This window comes from Homo sapiens, chromosome 2 (assembly GCF_000001405.40).
Source record: "Homo sapiens chromosome 2, GRCh38.p14 Primary Assembly".
NCBI lineage: Eukaryota > Metazoa > Chordata > Mammalia > Primates > Hominidae > Homo > Homo sapiens.
In genome coordinates this window covers 177,999,711-178,024,036 of record NC_000002.12, presented here as the reverse complement: position 1 = coordinate 178,024,036, position 24,326 = coordinate 177,999,711, and the positions used below count along the sequence as shown (strand labels likewise).

Here is a 24,326-nt window from a genome sequence, read left to right as displayed (position 1 = left end):
CCAATTGTGATTTAATTAGTTGGGGTGGGGCTAAAACATCAGTACTTTCCTAAAGGTCCCAGGTGATTCCAGTATTAACAAGGACTGCCAAGCTCTGTTCTATTCCTATGTATGTCTAAGTGTCTGTAGGCCGAAGAATACCTTATATACATGCATATCTTATTTCACCTTTTCTCTCTAATTTCTTTATAATTTTTCTCTGTAATCTTCTCCACAATTTACAATTATAACTTTATAATTTTTGAGCTATATTTTGTAACTCAAAGACAAGGTCATTTGAAAGTGTTATGGAATTAATAGGGGCTTTTGTCATTACATATTTCCTCATAAGTATGTTCAGGAAACATAATTACATCATGTGGACACTCTTAGACTTGAACAGTTTGAGCATTTTGGCTATGAAGGACCTAAGGTAGATTCAAGATTCTGGTTTTTAAAAATCACCCTTGTAGATTAAACATTGGTCAAGATTAGTTCTTGGCTTAATCATGAGTACTGGAAAATTTTACTATAAAGTATTGGGGATAGAGTCCTTAAATACAGAGGGAATAAAAGAGATCTTAGGCAACCCATCTTTGCCATGAATGTGGGACCTGGATAAGATTCTCAACTCTGAATCTTGCCTTAGGGAGCCTCCAGTGATTTCTCTGAGAAAGTAGAAAGAGAAGATGGATTTGTTTTGCTTCGAGGCTTCTTTCGTACCTCTAAAGTGTGTTTTTTTGGGGCTGGCTGGGATTCTTGAGCATATTAAATATAATTCTTTCTCAAAGACATGAAAGCTGAGTTCAGAGGTTGCTTTTTACAGCCTTTGTGGATCTTGAAGGTGGGAATCCTTTTTCTGGGTGTGCTTCATGGCACCACATTCAACTCAGAAACTTGCAGATGGGTTTGCAAGTGCAAGATCCTGGGTCAGAAATGTATCCAATTACTGTTCTCTATGAAGGAGGCACAGGTCAGTTCCTTCACTGAGAAGTAAAAATTGCTTTTGGCCTTGTGACTTTGTCTTTTTAAAGGTTAAAAATCATGGCTGCGTGTTATATACAAAAGACAGATCTGCATAAAAGGCATGGAAAAGATTTCTGCACTTCTCAAGAGCAGTTGTACTTAAAATATCTGAGATAGAAAAAATATTATGACATAAAAATACTCAAAGCGGTAAGAGTCTACCACAATTATAACAGCTCATTCCAGATTTTAACAACTTTACTTTACCTTAATTTATTAGAAATCTCTCCTGTTGTAGATCATTTCTTGTTCTTTTGTCCCAAGGGAGATGAGTAAAAATTGGGCACCATTCTCCATATGATATTTCATTATAATCCTTGAGGCATTTGTTAGTTTCCTATTCAAGTTTCCATTTTCAGAAACAAGCACATTTTTTGCCTTCTTACTAGTCCTGTTTCCTCCTTACCTGGCCTTCTGTGAAGCTCTGCTGGTGATTGTGATGACCTTCTGAAGATCCTGGGCTTAAAAGCTGTTAGGCAAAATTCCCATCCTTACCTAGACAATTTTTACTTTCCATTTCAAGTCCTTTTCCTGAAATTAAAAAAAAAAATCGTCTATGTCTGTATCTATATCTAAATCTATCAAACTTCTTTTTGAGCATCTGTACCATGTGGATGACCCACAGGCAACTAAACCTTGAAATGTCCACAACGAAACTCATATTCCCCAGAATCTGTTCCTTACTGCGTTCCTCACTCAGTGAATCATCCCACTACCCTCCCAGACATCTGCACCAGAAATATGGAGTCATTTTCACTTCTCTAACTTTCACAGCCTTCCAAATTAATCAGCATAGAATCAGTTCTATTCATTCTACCTCCTAAATATCTCTCAACTCAGTCCATTTTCCACCACTCCTACTACCACTAACCACCATCCCAGCCCAGAGATGGTTCATCTCTCACCTGGACCTCTTGCTTCCAATCCATTCTTTACATGTAGCCACAGCAGTCTTTCTAAAATGAAGACTCAGTCATATCACTCCCACTCACCTTCTTAAAACTCTCTAGTGACCCCTCGCTTCCTCTATGATAAATTTACAATTCTACACCTAGTTACTAGACACCCTCTCATCAGCCTCCAGCTGTCTTTCCTACCCCATGTCTGACACTTCCCACAAGAGCCATCTTCAACTTCTTTCTATTCCTCAAATTAACCAGCGTTTATTGCCTCTGGACTTTAGAGATACTATTCCCTCTTTCTGGGACACTCCCTTCCACCTCTCCCTAATGCTTCTCTCCTTTTTTTCTGGATAATTCCTATTGATCCTGTGGGTATCACCTTAAACACTTCACTTTCTTTGGGAGATATTGTCTGACCTTAGACTAGTTGTGGCACCCTGCTGTTGTGTTCCGTAATGCTATGTGTTTCCTCTACTATTATACTCATTTGTGGTGATTACTTGGCTAGTTAAATCTATTTTTTAATTTCATCTATTATTAAACTTTTGTTCCTTCTATAATATCAGAGTAACATGTTCCTTTATCTAATTATTTTCCTAATTTTCTTCATCTACTATAATTCATTTATGCCTCAATTTGGGACTCAGCTTTCTTGATTGTTTTTAATTGGAAGATTAATCTACAGATTTATGTATATATTAAGAAAGTACATAATTGTATCAGCGATTCTGATCTCCCATTAGATTAATTTGATTTTATCAAGTTTTGAGTTAATTTGTGAGAATTATCTTATAAGTAGTGTAATGAAGACACAGACAAAGCATGTCCTAAGATGCATTATTTTTTAAAACCATTAAGACTTAATGGAGGCTGGGTGCGGTGGCTCATGCCTGTAATCCCAGCACTTTGGGAGGCCGAGGCAGGTGGATCACTTGAGGTCAGGAGTTCGAGACCAGCCTGGCCAACATGGTGAAACCCCCATCTCTACTAAAAACACAAAATTAGCTTGGTGTGGTGGCACATGCCTGTAATCCCAGCTACTCAGGAAGCTGAGGTAGGAAAATTACTTGACCCTGGGAGGTGGTGGTTGCAGTGAACAGAGATTGCACCATTGCACTCCAGCCTGGACAAAAAGAGGGAAACTCCATCTCAAACACACACACACACACACACACACACACACACACACACACACACACACACACCAAGACAAAAAAACAAAAAAACAAAGACTTAATAGAAAAAATCTTTCTTCCTAGCTTTTATTTTAAATTAAAAGATTAATACTTACCACATGTATTAATACAATTACATTTTCTCCTTTTTGTTTTTGAGACAGAGTCTTGCTCTGTCGCCCAGTCTGGAGTGCAGTGGCGCAATCTTGGCTCCCTGCAACCTCTGCCTCTCGGGTTCAATCGATTTTCCTGACTCAGCCTGCCGAGTAGGAGTAGCTGGGATTACAGGCGCCTACCACCACACCTGGCTAATTTTTGTATTTTTAGTAGAGATGGGGTTTCACCATGTTGACCAGGCTGGTCTTGAACTCCTGGCCTTAAGTGATCCACCCACCTTGGCCTCCCAAAGTGCTGGCATTACAGGCATGAAGCACTGCTCCAGGCCACATTTTCTCTTTAAGTTATCAGTTTATCAGGTGGATTTAGAGAGGTGAGGAGATGGTGGGGAGAGTTTAGACCATTTTTGTGACTCCTTGTCATGCTAAAGCATCCCAGTGTCTATTGTTCTCATGTGACTTTGGATGCTTTAGCAATGGGGTAGCAACCTACTCCATAGCCTTGGTGGTTGGTCTACTCAGACTCAGAGTTGAGTTTTGGTCGGTAAGAGACCCTTCTCCAGAGATGCAGATTATCACAAAGGTAAGGGCAAACAGGCTGTTCCTACTGCAGAGTGGATTTTCAGTCCATTCCATCATGGCCAACACCATTGATATGCAACCATCAGAATACATACCACTCTTCTTGTTCCTCCCCATTTTAAGGCATTTCCCATCAATAGGTTTTATTGCTCTCACTAATGACTAAAGTCTTTATCATTTAGGACAGTGGTTCTCATATGAGGATAACAGAGGAGCATTTAAAAAAATACCAATGCCTAGTAATGATTGATTCCATATGTGATGACTTTCTCAAGTTAATTTTCAGATGCAGTCAGGGGGAACAACCACTGATTTTGGTCAAAGATGCACTTCACCTTGTTTAATAAATTGATTTATCAACCTTCTACTCTCTTCATATGTAGACTTTCACCTTTATCTCAATCTCCCCCATTCCAGTAAATGATACTTCCGTCCACGGTTTCTCAAGTTAAAATCTGAGGCTCATTGTCTTTTGTCTATTCTCCCCTCCCAACCAATTCATCAGGAAGTACTACAGACTCAACTTCCAACATATTTGTCTACTTCTCTTTACCCTCATTGCCTTTTTCTTAAACCCAGACTATCCTCATACCTTACCTGGACCACCAAAATTTCCCAACTGGTCTATTTCAATTCTGTGTCATCCTCCACAAAGTTCTTAATTTTAGATAAGAATAAGCCATCTAGGTTTATAAAATCTTAATATTTTACTACATTGGGCTTTTTTTACATAAAAGAGTCGAATATGTTTTATTATATAGCATTTTATTTTTAGAAATTTTATTTCATAGAATATATTTTTATATTAGAAAACTTCAAATGGGAAAATAACAATTTTTTATACTTTTATACTTGTAGGCAGATTGTTTTAAGACAAGTAAAATAAACATATTTGAGAGATTAAGTTTTCATTTAGAATGTTTGATATTTTCATACAATTACAAAGGAGACTTCTTCCCTAAACGGAACTTCTCTATATTCAGCAGCTTTCCAAGCTCCTCTTCTTAGGATTTAGAAATTAGTAGTGTGAGATATCAGCTTTTTCTAATTTTAATGTTTCCCAAGGACATGGAACCATCAGTAGCTGATATCAACTGAACAGAGGGGGAAATTTTCAAAAATTAAATATTGTCTAATTTTCTGCAAAGTCTTTGTGCATGAATTAACAGTCTTTCTCTTTGTCTATCCTTATCAGGAAAAATACAGGAGATGTTTGATCACATATTTAGTAATTAAACTGAATTCTGTTTAAGAGATTGGTAAATGAAGATGCAAAAGCTCATATATAATGTTTAGTTATACTCTGATTCTGGGAAAGAAATCTCATTAACTCACCAGAAAATGGGACTCAGTTGCACAGTTTCTTGAATACAAATCCTCTCAAACTTTTCCTCAAAGATTAAATTCTGGGCTGGGAGCAGTGGCTCACACCTGTGATCCCAGCGTTTAAAGAGGCCAGAGTGGGAGGGTTGCTTGAGGCCAGTAATTTGAGACCAGACTGGGCAATGTAGTGAGACCCTGTGTCTACAAAAAATAAAAAAGAATAGCTGGGCATGGTGGTGTGCACCTGCAGTCCTAGCTACTTAGGAGGCTGAGGCAGGAGGATTGCTTGAGCCCAGGACTTTGGGTGATGAAAGTGAGCTATGATTGCACCAAAGAGTTTTGTCTCAACAATGAACTTATCTGTTACTTCCTTTTTATTGTTAGTGGAATGGCATGGCAGAGCAGAGGCAAAGATAAGTACTTTTTAAGGTGTTAAGAATTACTTTTTAAGGTGTTAAGTCTAAAAGGTCAGAGCTTCCACAGCATGGCAACAGCTTTCCAGATGCCCCCATCATGATAGTTGAAATCACAAAGCCCGGCAAAGGTTAAAGTCAAGTGTGCCAAAAGGCCTGCCTTGGCAGCTTTCCGTGATGCGTCTGCATAGACATAGTTTGAAACAACTTGTTCAAAGTCTTAGTGACTAAGGAGAGTGAGGGCTGTAGCCAGGGAGTAGTCCATCGCAGAGCAAGGATTCAAAGCAGCAGCTGGAAGCAGGAGCTAAACACTGACAACCCCGTCACCAGTCCAGTGGACAGACGCAGCCTTGGAAACAGAATGGCGGCTGGGTGGCAGGTGAACATGCTGTGCTCCACACCATCCTGGGGTAGGTTGGCCCTAGGGATGTGCTGAGACATGGCAGGTCTGACCAGTGGGGTTCAAAGCAACAGAGATCAGCTTCCTTGGGTGCCACAGATTACACTCAACCTCCAGAGAACCACCATCTTGCTCCTGAATTGTTTTTCTTTCTTTCTTTTTTTTGAGACGGAGTCTCACTCGCCCAGGCTGGAGTGAAGTGGCGTGATCTTGGCTCACTGCAACCTCCACCTCCTGGGTTCAAGCAATTCTCCTGCCTCAGCCTCCTGAGTAGCTGGAACTACAGGCACCTGGCACCACGCCCGGCTAATTTTTTGTATTTTTAGTAGAGACAAGGTTTCACCATGCTGGCCAGGCTGGTCTCGAACTCCTGACTTCGTGATCTGCCGGCCTCAGCCTCCCAACGTGCTGAGATTACAGGCGTGATCCACTGCACCTGGCCCCCCGAATTGTTTTTCTAAAGAAGTAAGCTTTCTTGTTGTAGTTGAAGCCTCCTCTGTGGTTCTCCCTGATGCCACTTCCTTCCTTCCTCTCCACAGGTAATCACTAATATAAATTTAGTGTTTATTATTCCCTTACATGCTTTTATACTTTTGCTACATATTTGAATCCATAAATGATATTTAGTATTATTTTTAAGTATTGTGGTATTATATAGATTGTATCAGACTGCTGCTTGTTTGTTTCACTTAACATTATGTTTTTGACATTTGTTCATGTTGATACAGGTAGCTCTAATTTATTCATTTAAATTGTTGTATAATACACTACCAAACCACAAGATCATAATTTATTTTTCTCTTGATCAACATTCAAATGGCTTCACGTTTTTAATTTTCATAATTGATGTTGCAGTGAACATTTGTGTACCTCTCTTCTATATATTTGGAAAAATGTCTCTACATACATGCCAAAGAGTGGTATGTGGCGCCTTAGCGCCTTAACAACTTTTCTATATTCTGCATAATTGCAATGCAATCTTTTCAAAAGAATAAATTATTTAAAAAATATTATTGTGCATGTATAATATGCATGCCAGAATGAAGCAGTAAATAGGAGAGACAAAATCTCTGCTGTCTTAGATTTTATATTTTAGTTGGGAGGAGAACAAGTAAACTGGTAAGATAATTGCAGAGAATCTAAGTGCTAAATAGTGGCCAATGCTATTCTTCTGCTTCAAGATCTTCAAAGGTTTTCCATTGCATTTGGGATTAAATATAACTCTTTCTAGGCCTGTGAGACTTGGCACCATTTGGTCACTGCCTCCCTCTTTCACTCTCCCTTTGTCTCCCTCTACTCTAGCCACATTGACCTTTGACTTTTTGGAACTTATTAAGCTTTTTCCTGCTTCAGGACCTTATATGTATTGGTTCATCTTCCTGGAAAGTTCTTTCCACCACTCTTTGCCTAGAAAATTCTTACTCATGATTGAAGTCTCGGCTTATTTGTTCTGTTTTGAGAGAGAACTTCCTTGATCCCTATAAAAATAAGTCCTTCATATTCAGTCTCTCTCACGCATTTTGCTTTTTTCTCAGTAACACTTACCACAATATATAAATATACATCTATACATTGTCTGCCTCACCTACTTGATTGCAACTTCCACCTAGCCCATAGCCTGACATGTAGTAGTTCCTCAGAGAAATTTAAAAATAATTAATACAGATTGCTGATTTTCTGAAAGTTTGGTCACATACTTATTTTGAGCAGGAGATTTGGTTTTGTTTGGGTTTTGATTTCCCTCTCTTTAATTGGACTCTCCTCTCTCTGGGGTTTAGTGTGGCCTCCATGGATCACCAGACCAGAGCCAGGCCTCATAATGGCATTTAAAGACTCCTGGCCGGGCACTGTGGGTCACGCCTGTAATTCCAACACTTTGGGAGGCCAAGGCGAGTGGATCACCTGCGGTCAGGAGTTCGAGACCACCTTGGCCAATATGGTGAAACCCCATCTCTACTAAAATGCAAAAAAAAAAAAAAAAAAAAAAAATTAGCCAGGCATGATGGCTTGCATCTGTAGTCCCAGCTACTTGGGAGGATGAGGCAGGAGAATCGCTTGAACCCGGGAGGTGGAGGTTGCAGTGAACCGAGATCAAATGACTGCATTCCAGCCTGGGTGACAGAGCGAGAATAGCATAGCATAGGCACCAGTGCTTTGTTTTTGTCTTTTAAGCCTCCTTTAACAGGGGTGTGCAGAAGGTACAGGAAGAAGCCTCACTCCAACCCCTGACTTGAAATAGTTTATCATCAGACTGGATCCAGTTTATCATCTACCTTGGAGCATTTTTAGTCACAGTTACTCAGGAGCCAATCTTTTTCTTTTTTTCCTTCCACCCTCCTTTTCCTCTCTCCTTCCCTTCTCTCCCTCCCTCCTTCCATCCATTCGTTCCTTCCTTGAAAGTGAGTTGAAGGTATGATATTTCACTCCCCAAATACCCTAGCATGTATATCCTAAGAATAAGGACATTCTGCAGCATAATTACAACACCAGTATCATACTTAAGAAAGTTTATAATGATATAATTATCTGACTTAACTTTCTCCAATTGTCCCTCCAGAAATATCCTTTGTGGAATTTTCGGAATTTCTAGTAAAGGATCACATATTTTATTTGGATTTCAGGTCTCTTCAGTCTTCTTTAAATTGGTATAGCTCCCATGGTTTAACTTTATATTTATTTAAAAAAACTTTTTTTTTGTCTTTCATGATCTTGACATTTTTTAAGCATCCAGCGTTAGGTTTCTGATAGAATGACTGATGATTTCTACATTTCTTAATTTTCATTTCTTGAATAATTAGATTCACGTTACACATTTGACAAGAACACTGTATTCTTGGTGATGTTGTGTCCTTTCCATTGCATTATATCAGGAGGCACATGGTGTTAATTTTTCTTCTAAAGAGTGATGCTAAGTTTACTTGTTTGAGGTAGCGTTCACCAGATTTATTCACTACAAAGACACCTTTTACCTTTGTAATAAGGAATCTTTGGGTGTGGCACTTTGAGACTGTGTGACTATACTGTTTAAGTTAAACAATTTTCACCCAATGGTATTAGCATACTTAATGACCCTTGCTTGTAAACATAATTATATAGGTAGTTGCAAAATATATTGTATAATTTTATCATTTATTTTATATATTTTAGCTGGCATTCTATAGAGAAGTCTTTTATCTCCCCATACCCCACATCTTTTTGGGAGGATTTTGAAATATCATTATGTACTCATAGATTTTTTTTTCACAGGATCATTTTGGCCAGAAATAAAGTAGCTCTATATTGAACAATTTTTCAGTGTTTAGTATATATTTCTCATGTAAGTTTCTTATATGACATTTCATATCCTGTCTTTTTGAAATAACATGTTTTCATAAATCACATAAATCGCTTTCCTTAAAAACACGTTTCCCCAATTTTGATGTGTTGCGGTTGGGCTTAAAGTCTCTCTCTTCATTTACTATGGCAAACAACTATGGCATTGACTTATTTGGATTTATATTCCTTTGGTGAATTAAAAATGAAGTCAAATCTGTTATTGTGATTAAAAATTCATGGGGCTAGTTCCCAGTGATAAGGTATCATATGCAGAAATAAACCTCTCTCTCCTTCTCCCTGACAACAATGCACATGCAGTTAATGCTTTCTTTGTCTTATTTTTAGGATCGACGATTCAATGATGAAATCGACAAGCTAACTGGATACAAGACAAAATCATTATTGTGCATGCCTATCCGAAGCAGTGATGGTGAGATTATTGGTGTGGCCCAAGCGATAAATAAGATTCCTGAAGGAGCTCCATTTACTGAAGATGATGAAAAAGTAAGATTTCATGCCTTTTGTGAGTTGTACTTTTCTTCTTGGTCATTGATTGCTATTCTCCTTTAAAAGACAGGAATTATGTGAATAGCTGTTGGATTAGCCCATTCATGGATCAAAGAGCTTTTTCTCATGGTATACAAAATGAAATGGGAGTTTTTCGATATTTCATAGAATGTGGTAAAATTGAAAATAATTACTTCATCTTTTTTTGTAGCTTGCTTTTCATTATAAGCCTCGGTAGTATTCTTGTTGTTCCCTGGTCTTTGTCTTCCTTATAAGTAAGATAAGGATCACAACTCCACCACACATGGCCTAAGGGAAGATAGAAAATATAGGAAGATTGCTGTGTTTCAGAAACTCAGCACTTTCTCCTATATTTTTATAACTACAACAAAGAATTGTTTTCTCAGTTCTTATATAAAAATCTCAATAAAAACGAATGTTATTTAATTGTTATTTCAAATTGCTAATAAAAAGAACATTACTTTTGTCCCTGAAGAGTAATTGACCTTGGTGGAAGTAATGTACTTTTTGCTCTGAAATTTTAAGTTCTTTCACTAGTAGTTTATTTACCAGTTTATATTAAAAGAGAGAGAGTCCTCAAAGAACTGAAGTTCTGGCTTTGAAGCTTCTACCTTTATATTGAATAAAATCTGGTTGAATATTTATAAAATATGCGCTAAAAGCAAATCTCAAATTAGTTTGTTTAAGTTTGATGACTCTCATATTTCTATTTAATTAAAAAACACTTTATAATTTAACCTTCTGGATGTGGGTTTGTCATTTGCCAATGCTAATTACAAATGCATTAAATTAATGCAAATGTTCTGGCACAGAAGGTCAACATGAAATATGATTGTAAGGAAACAAGAAGGTTTTTAAGTGAAGACAGTCCTTGATTGAGGTCATTTTTATAGTGGAATTGAGACGGCCCAACTCTCCTTAAAGGTTTTTGAATTCATAGAGCATGATAGGACCTCAAAAGATTTCTTACAATGAAGTAAAATGCTATGGGGTATGAGGCACTTGTATTGGGATCCTAAGAGGCACAAAGATAAATCCCAATCATGTTATGTCATCCAGGAGCTACACAAGGCAGGAGACAAGAATCATCAGCAAGTTGTTCTCAGACAGGCTGGGGGCGCCTAGGAAAGACAGGCTTGTTCTCACTTGGATCTGAAAAGGCTTCCTGGAAGAGGCGGTATTTGATCTGTCCTCTGAAGCAAAAATAGGCCTCCATCAGACAGAAACAGATGAGAAGGAGAGGACGTTGTTTAGAAGTGAATATAAATGTAGGCCACTTTATTCCAATAAAGATATTTCCATGGAATGTAAGATAAAGCAGAAATTTCATTTTGTGCATTTTGTATCATAGATGGCAGAGTCCTGAGATGATGTGCCTCTTATACAGATTTAGGTAGAAGGATGTGGGTTTTGCGTCTTTCCAAATATAACCACTACATACCCATACCATACCCCTAACAGTTCAGTTTGTACACAGATGGTAGTCCTGCCTTTGCTCTGCTGCCTTCATTTAAAAGGAACTCATTATATATTTAGTTCTTATCTTTGATTCCATTTATGTTAGATTTGTTTTCTGGACTTTTCTTAATGGACTTGTACCTGTGAGATAGAGCTTCATGAGCTGTGAATAATTTAAAGGGAAGATTTGCACAGGACTCTGTACCTTTCTTGAATAGCATCAATGTTTAGTTCTATTAAGAATGAGAGCCTGGGACTGAGTCCCAGCTCAGCTAATGACAGGCAGCTGCTTGGATGCACAGCTCACACTTACCTCTGACCTGAAGTTTTCTCATCTGTCAACTATACTATTCACCACTCTATAGCAGGAGAGTTAAATAAGATCATCAATGAGAAATACTTTGCAAAATACAAGAAACTAGGCAAGTGTAAAATACAATTTTTTTAAATAATTAATATTTTCCCTATGAGTTTTAAAATATTCTTAATTTGTCACTTATCCCCAAGCAACTTTTTCTTAGATTCAGCCTTATCTGAATATTTTCTAGCTTGAAATGATATATTTTTCTCTTCTGTAGTTATCCCATGTGCCACAGTGGCATTTTATCTTCCAGCCTCTACAACTCCCACACCTGACTTGAAAACCCTACTCTAGTTTTGCTTCTTGTAAGAAGTCCTACCAGTTAGTGCAGGTAGATTGTGTTCATGCAGGTGGCACCAGCTGGAGAGTATTTTATCTCAACAACTTCTGCGTATGGGTATTGTTATTTCCTGAAAGGATCCTATATATTGCAAACCAAACAGAAAAGGTGAAGGAGAAAAGCAGAAGACAAAATCTAGAAGTGATTCACGGGAAAGTATTTCTTCCAAATAAGAGAAGACAGCAAAGTATAATGGCTGTACTGGCCATATGGTGAGTCTATCTGGGTTGAAATTACATCTCTGCCATGGCCTCAGTAACCTTGGGCAAGTTACTTAGCTTCTCTGGGCCACAATATTCTCCTCTTAGAAGAGGGGTGATAGTAACACTTACTCACAGGGCTGTAGGGAGATTAAATGAGAGAATCCGGGGAAAGAACTTGGAAGAGAACTTAGGACTTAGTAAGTTCTCATGAGCGATTGATTAGCTTTTCCTGACAGCACGTGAATACATGTGAGGTATCATGTGTATGTCAGTCAGGCCTCAGTTTAAAAATTACCTTTGTCTAATTTAAGTCTATACATTCATATCAAGTGGACCTCCCAGGTTGCTGAAAGGTGGTAGCTGGGAGGGTGGCACACCCAGAGAAGGATCAGAAGCTCTGCACCTCTTCCCCTATACCTCGCCCTATGTATCTCTTCCATCTGGCTGTTTCTGAGTTACAACCTTTTATAAAATTATAAACTGGTCTTCTATATGAGAGATTGGGTATACAAATGGACAATGACCAGTCCACATATAATGACAGACCCACATTCTCTTCAGCAGGCAGCTTAGAAGGCCAAATCACAGTCTCTGTAGCAATCAGCTTAGCACAGCCAGGATTTGGTCAATGACCGCCACCTTCCCTATTTTTTTGCTCTCATCATGCCCTCCACCCCTGCATACTTACAACTCAGAGCCACTGAGAGAAAAGCCAAATATATTCCCTGAACTCATTACCTAAAATGCCGTGCTTCTAGTTACCCTGCCTTCAGCTTCCCCATGCCAACAACCTCCACTTAGAACATACCTAAAGTCTTCTATTTTTTTCACCGTAAAACTTGTGCACTCCCCTTTGAGTGTTCCAAATGCAAGAGATGGTGACTGTCTTCCTTGTTATAGCATGGGATGAATAAATAGCCTGTGTTTGTCCTCATTTAAAGATAAATTTTTATTAAATACAATGTATATGCCAGATGATCCTCCCTTATTGGGATTTCTCCAGTTAAAAGGGGAATATATTTCTTTATAAGTTCATGAATCTCTTGCCTTATTAATACACATACTCTTTTACTTGGGTGTACAAGGTTATCCTTATATGTACTAATTTGCATTCTACGTTTTAACCCAGTTATTTCTTACATATGCGTCCACATACGAATATATTCTACATTTGTCATTTTGGGAGATCATAAAATTTTCTTCTTTTCTTTTTCTACAGAGCCTCGATTGCTTAGTCACTGTCCTATTAGTGAGAATTTGGATTTTTCCCCTGTGTTTCACTAATACAAATAGCCCTTGAATGAACATCTTGAACAAATTACCTTTTTCTTTGGTGTTATTTCCTTGAGGTTATATTCCAAAGACTGAAATTACTGAGTCAAAGGGCAAGAAAAGTTTTATAGCTCTCATTCCATGTTATAGATAGCTTTTGGAAATATTGATCCCATTTACAATGGTAGCAGTATGTGTACCTAATTTCTCAGAGCTCTGCCAACTTCATTCACTTCACATTTTAAAACTCAAATTAGTTTTCCTTGGTCAGCCAAGCAGACTTCAGAAAACCTTGTCCCACGTTCAATAGCATAAACTGCAGCAACCAAAGTAATTTCAATGTTGCCTACAAGTAAGAAAACAAGGAAGCAAAAAGGAAGCCATGTCGTGAGTGTTAGGTGAGAGGCTCTGGAGTTAGAAAGTCTCCAAAGCAGGTTCAAGTCTTTGCTCTGCTGCTTATTAACTGAGTGACCTTCAGCAAGTGGCTGCATCTTTCTAGCCTCAGAACCTCCATCACATGGTTGTTGTGTGGAGTAAAATAGATAATAGATGTAAAGTGCTTAGGGTAGCACTTATTATCAATAAATGAGCCTTATGAAAGTTCACCATATATTTCAAAGCCAGACTAAAGTAATTTGAACCCTGTTCGTAATTTTATTTTATACACATAACTGCCATGTCATCATTCACATGAGTAGTGGTGAATTTGTTGCACATTAGCATAATATGATTTGTATGTCCTGATATCTTAAAATGTCAACATCTAGAGACTATAAGTTATGTTCTGTATAATTTCAAAACATTTTGTAATATGGAAATCAGTAAATCATTTGACTGAGATAAATTAAAAATTAAATGTGGTATACTGATTTCTGGGCTATTTATGTACCTAACATAATTGTGCATAGGACCACTATATTGTGTTTCTTGAAAATTCTACACCTATAATTCAGTGGCTGTGCTACATCATGTAATACATATACCCTGTAGTAGAAGAGACTGGAAAAATCACCAAGTCCATTCCCTGCCACCTTTTCCTTCATCCAATGCAGGAAATTTTACCTGACAGATAGTCATCCAGCCTCTGCCTGAAAGCTTCCCTTTTAATGACTTTAAAATCCTCATGCTCTTTAAAGTTCTTGGATAATTAGCAATAATTTTATCAGCAGTGGTGAGAGTTTGTATGAAATATAGCCTACTATATTCACATATTAATAATTTAAGTTCCATACTGACAAATTACTAGTTTGATAATTCACTTTGAAAGTACACACAAAGGCAGACCATGCAGGAGAGATGATCGGAATTTTCTGGTTCACTTTGTGGGTTTCAAACAAATATTCCTATTTTTCAGCAATATGTATAAACTAGCTGATTTAGGTGGTATGAGTAGACTCTTTGCATTCAATTAAGTCATTACTTTGTTATTCCTGGGTGATTGATGGAAGGTATTATTTTGAAGAAGAAAATAATGAGACCTCGATAGGAGCAAACATTTGTGATCTATTAAGATGTGTGGGCACGCCAGCATAAACCTGGGAAATGGAAAAGAGCAAGGGCTCTTATCTGCCTTCCCAGGTTCCTATACATCTGCCCTAAAAGTGTCATTTCATATTACAGTGTTCCATAAAGTATGATATGTTTATTGCAGGTACTTTCCAACAGCCAATGTATTAGCAGCTGTGGTTTGAAGTTCTTCTTTGGCTAATCTCTGTAGGTTTCTTTAGCCCTGGTCACCTCTCTTCAGCTCATGATTCAGAGTGTTTGGTTACCCTGCTGCTCTCCTTCATGCCGACATGTTCCGCCACCCCATAAAGCTGGGATGCAGCCAACTTGAGCTTGGTTGCTGAGGGGCTGGCTGTGTTCCAGGAGCTTGTTACTGATGATGCTGCTCTGCCAACTGGTGTTGAGGATGGTGCCTGAATGATGCTAATGAGTCTCTGCGGAAGCTGGAGTTTTGTTATCAGCAACAGGCCTGAGACTCACAGCCAGATAATAGGGAAAATTTTATAAACTCCTAGCCTCACATTTCTAATAGTGTGAGGAGAATGTTTAAGATTATTGAGATGTCAGGGGTGCACAAGGTATTTAAGTTTACTGTAGTGAGGAGGGGAATATTGACTGCATCATGCTGAGAAGGGGCAACAAATTGATGGCCCCAGAAGACTGAATGCAGCTCACACATGTATGACTTGCATGGGATTTGACTGGCATAGAACTGATTTTTTTAAAAAATTAGATTACCTTTAGACATGGCTGCAAGCTGTAGTACTACTATAATAGCCAACCCTCAAACAACTAATCAGCTTAATAAAGTCAATTTCGTGGGAGCAAAGAGATTTCTTCTGTCATCTTATGAATAGTTTCCACAGAAGGTACTTTTCAAAGGTACTTTTTGAATATTTTTAAAAAATATTGTTATGTACATGAATAGTGGTATTACAACAACTCTGCCAGGCAACTTTTTATGTTCTATATTAATTCACCATTGTCTTTATAAAAGATACACAAATGCTAAAAAAAGAATAACTAATTATTTAAAAATTCCCTTTGTGTTCTCATTTCATTTTTTTTCCTTTTCTGCCTACATTTCAACTAAGTTAGATTTTTGAATCTGTTGAAATAAAACCATAATTAAGGCCAGGTGAGATGGCTCATGCCTGTAATTTGAGCACTTTAGGAGGCCGAGGCAGGCAGATCACAAGGTCAGGAGTTCGAGACCAGCCTGGCCAACATGGTGAAACCCTGTCTCTCTAAAGATACAAAAAAAATTTAGCCAGTTGTGGTGGCACATGTCTGTAATCCCAGCTACTTGGGAGGCTGAGGCAGGAGAATTGCTTGAACCCGGGAGGCAGAGGTTGCAGTGAGCCAAGATCTTGCCATTGCACTCCAGCCGGGGTGACAGGGCGAGACTCTGTCTCAAAAAATAAATAAATAAATAAATAAATGAAAATAATAATTAAAAGTCGGTCATTAGCAAAAAGGTTTTAAAAGTCCTGGCAGATGGCTCATGATTTCGTTATATTTGATCATTAAGACTTCAGTCCTGGAATAATTTGGATTGAATCCCATAACTCATTAATTCCAATATTTTATCTATATTTAAATGATCTACTCACAGCACTATTTGCCTTTTAAAAGCTGTTACCCAGGCTTCATATGATCACTGTGAAACTATAATTTGTTCACCAATTTGTTTGTGTTTTATGTGTTCACTTGACTATATCTGACTGAGTGGTTCAAAAACAACCAAGATTCTTCTTTATCATAATCCATCCAACTGTTTACAAAAAAATTTAAAATCTGGAACTCAAGTGGCACTGCAGCTTTCTACCAAAAATAAACCAGTTTCTGTAATTCAGTAATAGCTTTAGAAGGCCAATATAGTTCAGAGAAAAATGAAATTAAGAATTATATTGAAAACAGAGACCATTAAGTTCTCCAAATATGTTTCATTAATTATTTTGCTCATTTTTCTGAAAACCTTCTTGCCTTATCAATAAAAAACATTCACTTCTCTTCTTATAATTGAATCTTAACATAGATGTAGTGGGAATAAAATAATGGAAATAAAATTTATTGAACACTCTGGCAAAGATGCTGTGGTAGATGAAGTTGGAGTTACAAGGAAGAAGCAAGTATTGGCCTGGCCTTGAAAGAACTGAAGTCTTTCTCATTCACTCTTCTAAAATGCTGCCAAGACAGAGGCAGAAAGAAATGTATAATACTGTCAAGCATACTTTCATTCTTTATTAAGAGAAACAGGTATGTTTGGAATTCAACATCTTTGGTTGGAATGCATTGGCTTCCCCCCCCCCCCTTGTTTTGACAGAAATGGAATTAAGTGAAAGTAGTTAGTCTTTTCTGTAGTCTTCAAATTTTATAATGCCGTTTATTTTTAATTTAATCCCATTCAATTATTTAGTTGTTATACATTGACATTAACTGCTGTATTTTATGACTTTGTTCAATAATTTTGTTCTTTCAGGGCTATAAATAAACTTAAAAAAACAACAACAACCAAGATTTATGGGAAAACTATTACCAACACAGCACCTGCCAGAACTCAGGTTAAACTTCAGGGATTTTTTTTCTATTGGAGCAATATTGCCATGGTGTCATGGCTGTGGTCTTTTCCTCTTCTTGACTTTAGGGTAAAAAGGCAAATTTGCCTGCCAGGGTCCAGCTTAGGGGTTAACATTCAACAAAAACTGGTCTACCCTGCCCCTGATTTTGTCTTGGGCTTCCCACTCCCATACTTTTCCTTATATTCTTATCTAATTGCATGGAATTCTCATTTCCACCTTTCTTTCAAGGCTTAAGCCAAATTCTGTCATCTCAGACCTAAGTAGGCACTATTTCAAAAGTGATTATTCTTTGTCTTTAACAGTGTTTCCTAACATTTTATAGTTTAACATTTTTTTCCAGAAGTCCCCAAAAGATTGCAGTTGAATTTTGAGTAACATTTATTGAGAAAATATATAATGATCAAATATTAAGGAATTTAAGGAAATCAGTAACACAATAATTGAACAAAATGAAGGATGATACCTATATAGTGTATTTTTAAATTCCAAATGCAGATAATGCTTGGTATGCATGTAGATTTACAGGCCCCTTTCAGCAGAAATTCCAGTGTCTTCTTGATGGCTAATATACTGGCATTTGTAATTTCCTGCTTCCCTAGCTCCTCTTTTTATGTTTCTAAGAGTTACCAAGGAAATGATAAATGCTTAGTTGCAACATCCTTCTTTCTATTTCTTTCCACATACTCTGCAGGATCTACATAAGGTAGTTTGCAGTTATCAGGAACATGAAAAATAAATGAACTTAGTAAGTTATAGGGCTGTTACTGTTACAGTGCTGAATCTGGAGGACTTTGCATGATCATTGATCTGCATACTATTTTTAATAGCTATATAGTGTTCCATTTGTGTGGAAGAACTATTCATTCATTCACTATTTATTGCGTTTCTACTTAGTAGACAGTATTATGTTTGAGACACGGTTCCAAATGCTGAAGTTAAACTGATGAATTAGGCAGACAAAAATTCTTGCCCTCTCAGAGTTTACATTCTAGTGATAAAAAACAGACAACAAACAAAGTAAATATATAAGTATATAATGTAATTCCAAGTAGTGATTAGATACATAATTTTTTAAGAGATGGGGCTCACTATGGTGCCCACGCTGGTCCTGAATTCTTGGGCTCAAGCAGTTCTCCCCTCAGCCTCCCAGAGTGCTGGGATTACAGGCATGAGCCACCTTGTCTGGCCAGGATATGTAATTTTCATAATTTAGATTATTCAATTTTTTTCTGTAGCTTTTATTTATACGAATGTGCTTAATTAGTCTAGGTAATATCAAAAGGGCTAGCAGTAAAGTAGGGTATTTCACTAGGAAGCAAGATTTGATCCAGAGCTGTCGCTCAAAATAACTATGATAAATTGTGACTGACTCTTCAACAGAATCTTTCTTTTTTTCCCCTTTACTCCAGGTGTTCATGTAAACTGTGAACACCTGGAGTAAAGGGGACTCAACTCAGTTACTGAGTTCATTTATTTTTCATGTTCCTGGTAACTGCAAACTACCTTACCTAGATCCTGCAGAGTATGTGGAAACCCCTCTAGGCTGCCTTAGGCACTAAAACTTGAAGTTCAAGAAAGTATTGTCTTATTATTATGTTCACCTTAAGTAACTTTTTGTTGTATCTTCTTATGAGTATTAAGTTGTAATCACAATTTCAGTTTGCCATCCCCTGAACTGGGGAAGTTAAGAGACTGGATGATAATAACCTGACATAGCCAGGCTGTAGATATGCATCATAGTGCTGAAGAGACAGGACTCTGGCACATCTAGGAGGAAAAGTTTGGGGGGTAAGGAGAGCTTGCTGCGTTCTGATTTAAGGGACTGATACATCCATAGCTCTTGATGCTGGCAGGACTTGAAACAGTATTTTAGTTAAGCCACTTCTAAAAGTGCAAAATGACAAAGAACTGTCTTATAAACTCTTCTCTGATTTATTCAGGACTTGGACAGGAGAGAACAATTTGCAACTGTAGATTAGAAATAAATTTGTTGGCAGGCAAAATTGTTATTAAAGAACTAGAATGGGATGTGGTGAATTGTTATTTACTGGGGATTTCAAATTAAGATGGATAACGGTCTTCTTTGAATAACTAGTTTAGCATTATTTGAATAAAAGAGCAAGGTTGCTTCTTTTCATCTTAGAATGCTGAAATACTTGAATTTGAATTTTTAAAAATTAAATTCCTTTCTGATGAAAAGTAAAATTTAATAGAATCCAAGTATATTTGTCTATCTTTGAATTGGGTATCTCTGCCTTTCTTGGATTTTTTTTCCTTTTCTTTGGTGATAAGATTATTTCCTAATTTTAAAAGTAATATGAGCTTGTTATAGAAAATTTGGAAAATACAAAAAAAGGAAAAATTAGTATCACCCGTAATCCTAACTTTCAGAGATAATACTGTTAAATTCTTGGTTTATTTACCTATATTTATTTATTTTTACCTACAAATAAATATATGTTTTAAAAGTTTGCATAAAGTAGTACACACAGTATTTTATCATGCTTTAAATAATTCTTCAAAGATGTAATTTACATGTTTGCATTATTTTCCACCATGTACTTATACAATAGTTTATTTAATCATTTTATTTCTTAACATTTAGGTTGTTTCAAAAATCACATTCTTACAAAATTACAAATATTGACATCTTTACAAATAAGTCTTGGACTGTGTCTTAGAATAGCTGTTAGGTTGAACTATTAAATTGCTGTTCTATAGGTCAAAAATGATCCGATATCTGCAGTTTTATATGGTTCAAACTAATGCTTAGGATTACTGAGTCCAGGGATTTAAACATTAATTTTTAAACAGTGTTATTGGGATATAATTCACATACCATACAATGCTCCATTTAATTCAGTGGTTTTTAGTATATTTGCAGAGTTGTGTAAACCATCACCACACTCAATTTTAGAACATTTCCATCACCCCAGAAGAAACCCTATACCCATTAGCAGTCACTCCCCATTTCCCCCAGCTCTCCTACTCCTAATACCAGTCTAGGAGTGGTACCTTCTAGTCTACCAGTCTACCTTCTATCTCTGTGGGTTTGCCAGTTTTGGACAATTCATATAAATAGAGCCATATAATATGTAATCCTTGGTGACTGACTTCTTTCCCTTAGCATAACGTTTTCAAGACTCATCCATGTTGTAGCATGTATCAGTACATCATTTCTTTTTATGGCCCAGTAATGTGCCACCATGTGGATATACCTCATTTTATTTGTTCATCCATCAGTTGATGGATATTTGTTGCTGTTTCCACTTCTTGACTATTATGAATAATGCTTCTATGAACATTTATTTACAAGTTTTTGTGTGAACATAGTTTTTTCACTTCTCTTGGATATATACCTAGGAATTGAATTGTTGGGTCATAAAATAACTCTAGTGTTTAACCTTTTGAGGAACTACCAGACTGTTTTGCAAAACAGCTGCACTATTTTGAATTGCATCTTGCAATGTATGAGGGTTCCGAATTCTCCACACCCATGTCAGTACTTCTTACTATCTTTTTAATTATAGCTATTCTAGTGAGTGTGAAGTGGTATTTCATTGTGGTTTTCATTTGTCTTACCCTGATGGCTAATGATGTCGATCATCCTTTCATGTGCTTATTGGTGGAACGTTTGTTTTAAGGGCTCTTGATAAATTTCACTCATTTTTCTCTCCAGAAAATTATATTAATTCATAATGCCAGTAGCAGTATATGAACTCACTAAACTTTTATCAGCTTCAATCATTTTTAAAATTGCATTCCCTTGATTTCTAATTTCACTTTATTTCCACCCTTTGGTTTATTCAGTGTATGCATGCCTTCCACAAGGAATTAATCAACCATTGGTCTAATTTTTGATATAATTTTTTGTAACTGGCATAATTTTTTAACTAGAAAATAAACACTAGCATGATGCAAACTGACCTAAGCCAATTCGACCACACGACTTCTAGGTTATTCATAATACCTCCTAGGTACCTTATAATAGCTTCAAAAGAGTTTGAATTTGGTGGAAGCTGGCTACTTTCCTATAATCTTGCTATTTGGTTTTAATAAAAGCAGATCTCATTTCCCAAAGAACTTAAAACAGATCTACCATTTGACTCAGCAATCCCATTACTGGGTATATATCCAAAAGAAAATAAATCATTCTACCAAAAAGACACATGTACTTGAATGTTCATCACAGCAGTATTCACAATAGCAAAGCATGGAATCAACCTAGATGCCCATGAACAGTGGATTAGATAAAGAAAATGTGATACATAGACACCATGGAATACTATGCAGCCATAAAAAAGAATGAAATCATATCCTTTGCAGCAACATGATGCAGCTGGAGGCCATCATCATAAGCAAGTTAATGCAGGAACAGAAAACCAAATAATGCATGTTTTCACTTTTAAGTGGGAGCTACACATTGGTTGATCATGGACATAAAAATGACACCCATAGACAATGGGGACTACTAGAGGGGGAAGGGAGGGAGAGGGGCAAGTGTTGAAAAACTAACTATTGGGTTATATGCTCAGTACCTAGGTGATGGGATCATTCATATCCCAAACCTCAGCATCACACAATATACCCATGTAACAAACCTCACCTATATACTCAAATCTAAAATAAAAGTAGAAATTATAAAAAATGAAAATAAAAAGCAGATAGACCAAATCCTGCCACACATAAAGATGTTTATTTAAACAAAGTTTTGTGGGCAAGTTGGGTCAAATGGTTCATATACTCTATTCAGTAAGCTTCATGAAGCCCAAGCTCTCTTTATTTTAGCTAATCCTAACTTTCCTAACAATATTTCAAAGGCAGAATCTGGTTTTCTGCTGGTGGGCAACCACCAATCCTTTGACCCAGTGGCAGGATTAAACAACTTCAGGGCTTATCTCTAAGGAAACAAGTTTGGAACTTACTAGATTTTCATACTTTATTAATGCAAAGGTAGGTTGTATGTTCTAGAGACCTAGAAAATTATAACTGCATGTATCTTGAATAGGACTAATTGCAGTAATCAGAGTTGATATCTAAAATCCATTGTGCCGATTAACAAGCTACTGATTTCACCAGTGAAATCCATTTCTAACATTGCAAAGCCCCATGCTATTGAAGGCAGATAAAGATCTCTGGAGCACTTGTAATAGCCACATTTTGAGTGCAGCTTTCTGAATATCCCTGGAGTATAAATTCTCACTAGGGCAACTGTCTGCTCCTTGATGGCATATTAAACCTACTACACACACACACACACACACACACACACACACACACTTTCACATTGTCTTTGCTAAGGAATGTAAAGCAAATTATAGACATCAGGACAGCATGCAGTATTTCTCAGTGTTTTCTTTTCTTCTTAAATGAGAAAATAATGGAAACATTTAAGAGTGTACTCTGTGATAGGTGCTTTGCATATATTGTCTCATTTAATCCTCACAACAACACTGTTGATATTATTATAATTCTCACCTTATGGATGAGAACACTGAATGTGAGCAATTTTAAAAATGTGTCCAGGGTCGCTTGACTTGTGCTTGCAAAGCCAGGAATTGTCTGCAACTGTCTGTCTTGGCACACCACATGGGGACACTCGGTGGATGTTCATTAGTTTCCTACTGTTGCATCTTCACTTTTGGGACCCATGAACAGGTAGATGGGCCTGATATACATGTATAGATGGTTAAATAAACTGAGGTTTAATACTTTTGTGTGTGTGTGTGAGGAGAGGGTACTTGACACGAGGAAAACATTATTTCTAAATTACATTGCCTTGTGGCATTTCAGCTTTCCATAAATATTTGTAACCACACTTGAGCTTTGTGTCTGTAAGAAAAAGTTTAAAACTAACAGAGAGTTAGAAATCATTAAAAAATAATAACGGCTTTGTACATATACAGCTATGAGGTAGATACTTTAATATTTTCATTTTCTTCAATTTTGTGCTTTTACTGACAAAACATTTTTAAATTTATGGTTGTTTATTATATTTTCCTCAACTGAGAATGAAAAGAAGGTGAGGATTAGTCTAATTTTAGCATTTTTCTTGCTTTAAAAAGTTGTGCCTCAAATCAGAATTTGCAAATAGCATTTGATTGCACTGAGTGATAAAGTGAGGTTTTCCAGTATAAATTACCCTGCAGCTTACTTAGAGCATTTTCCTATGTATAGCAAAATTTATGGAATATGCTGTTTAAATGAAGCCACATCATATTTCCTGTTGGAGAATTTCAAATATAATATAACTCTGTGACATACTTTGTAATTTCTATTTTTAACAGTATGTAGTGATTTAGAAAATCTACTTGGATATTTATTTTTTCCCTTCTTTTCTGAATTGAAGGCAGAAATGAAACCATTTTCTGGTCATTTTCCATTATTTCCTTTTATTTCTCCCACATGTGCCGTGGATAATATCCTGGCTAGATATGATTGTAGGTTATTTTCACTGGCAGATTCTGATTCCATTGCCAATCAACAAAAGAGCATTTCCCCCACCCCTTTCATATTCTGCATACTCTATTTAGAAATGAGAAAAAGTCTCAAAGGTAGGCATGACTATATTACCAAAGCAGGCAGCAAGGTGCCCCAAGGGAGGGCCCAAGCTGGAGTGAGAGTATGTTAAGAGGGGAAGAAAGTAATGAGTGGTTTTGAAAAATGAGGTTATGTAAGTTAGAGCTACCCAGAGATGCTTTGAAGGTCTATTAGACACAGTTCTTGAAAGGGGGTTTAAATAAAACTAAAATATAATAGCAAACTCTCTCACTGGAGAGAATTTAAAATGATTCCTCACAAGAATTAATTGACACCATCAGAAGGCTGGAACGGGCTTTAACCAT

The 24,326-nt window shown here is 36.9% G+C and overlaps 1 protein-coding gene and 1 pseudogene across 2 annotated transcripts in view; one reads left to right on the top strand and one right to left on the bottom strand.

The window, feature by feature from the left end:
* Positions 1-24,326, top strand: part of PDE11A (phosphodiesterase 11A) — a 485,096-nt gene that overhangs the window by 84,303 nt on the left and 376,467 nt on the right. For both annotated transcript variants that reach the window (NM_001077197.2, NM_016953.4), the window contains one exon: positions 9,577-9,735. In NM_001077197.2, coding sequence (NP_001070665.1) covers positions 9,577-9,735 — 159 coding nt within the window. The remainder of the gene's footprint in view (positions 1-9,576; positions 9,736-24,326) is intronic.
* On the bottom strand, positions 5,412-6,055 carry SDHDP5 (succinate dehydrogenase complex subunit D pseudogene 5; annotated as a pseudogene).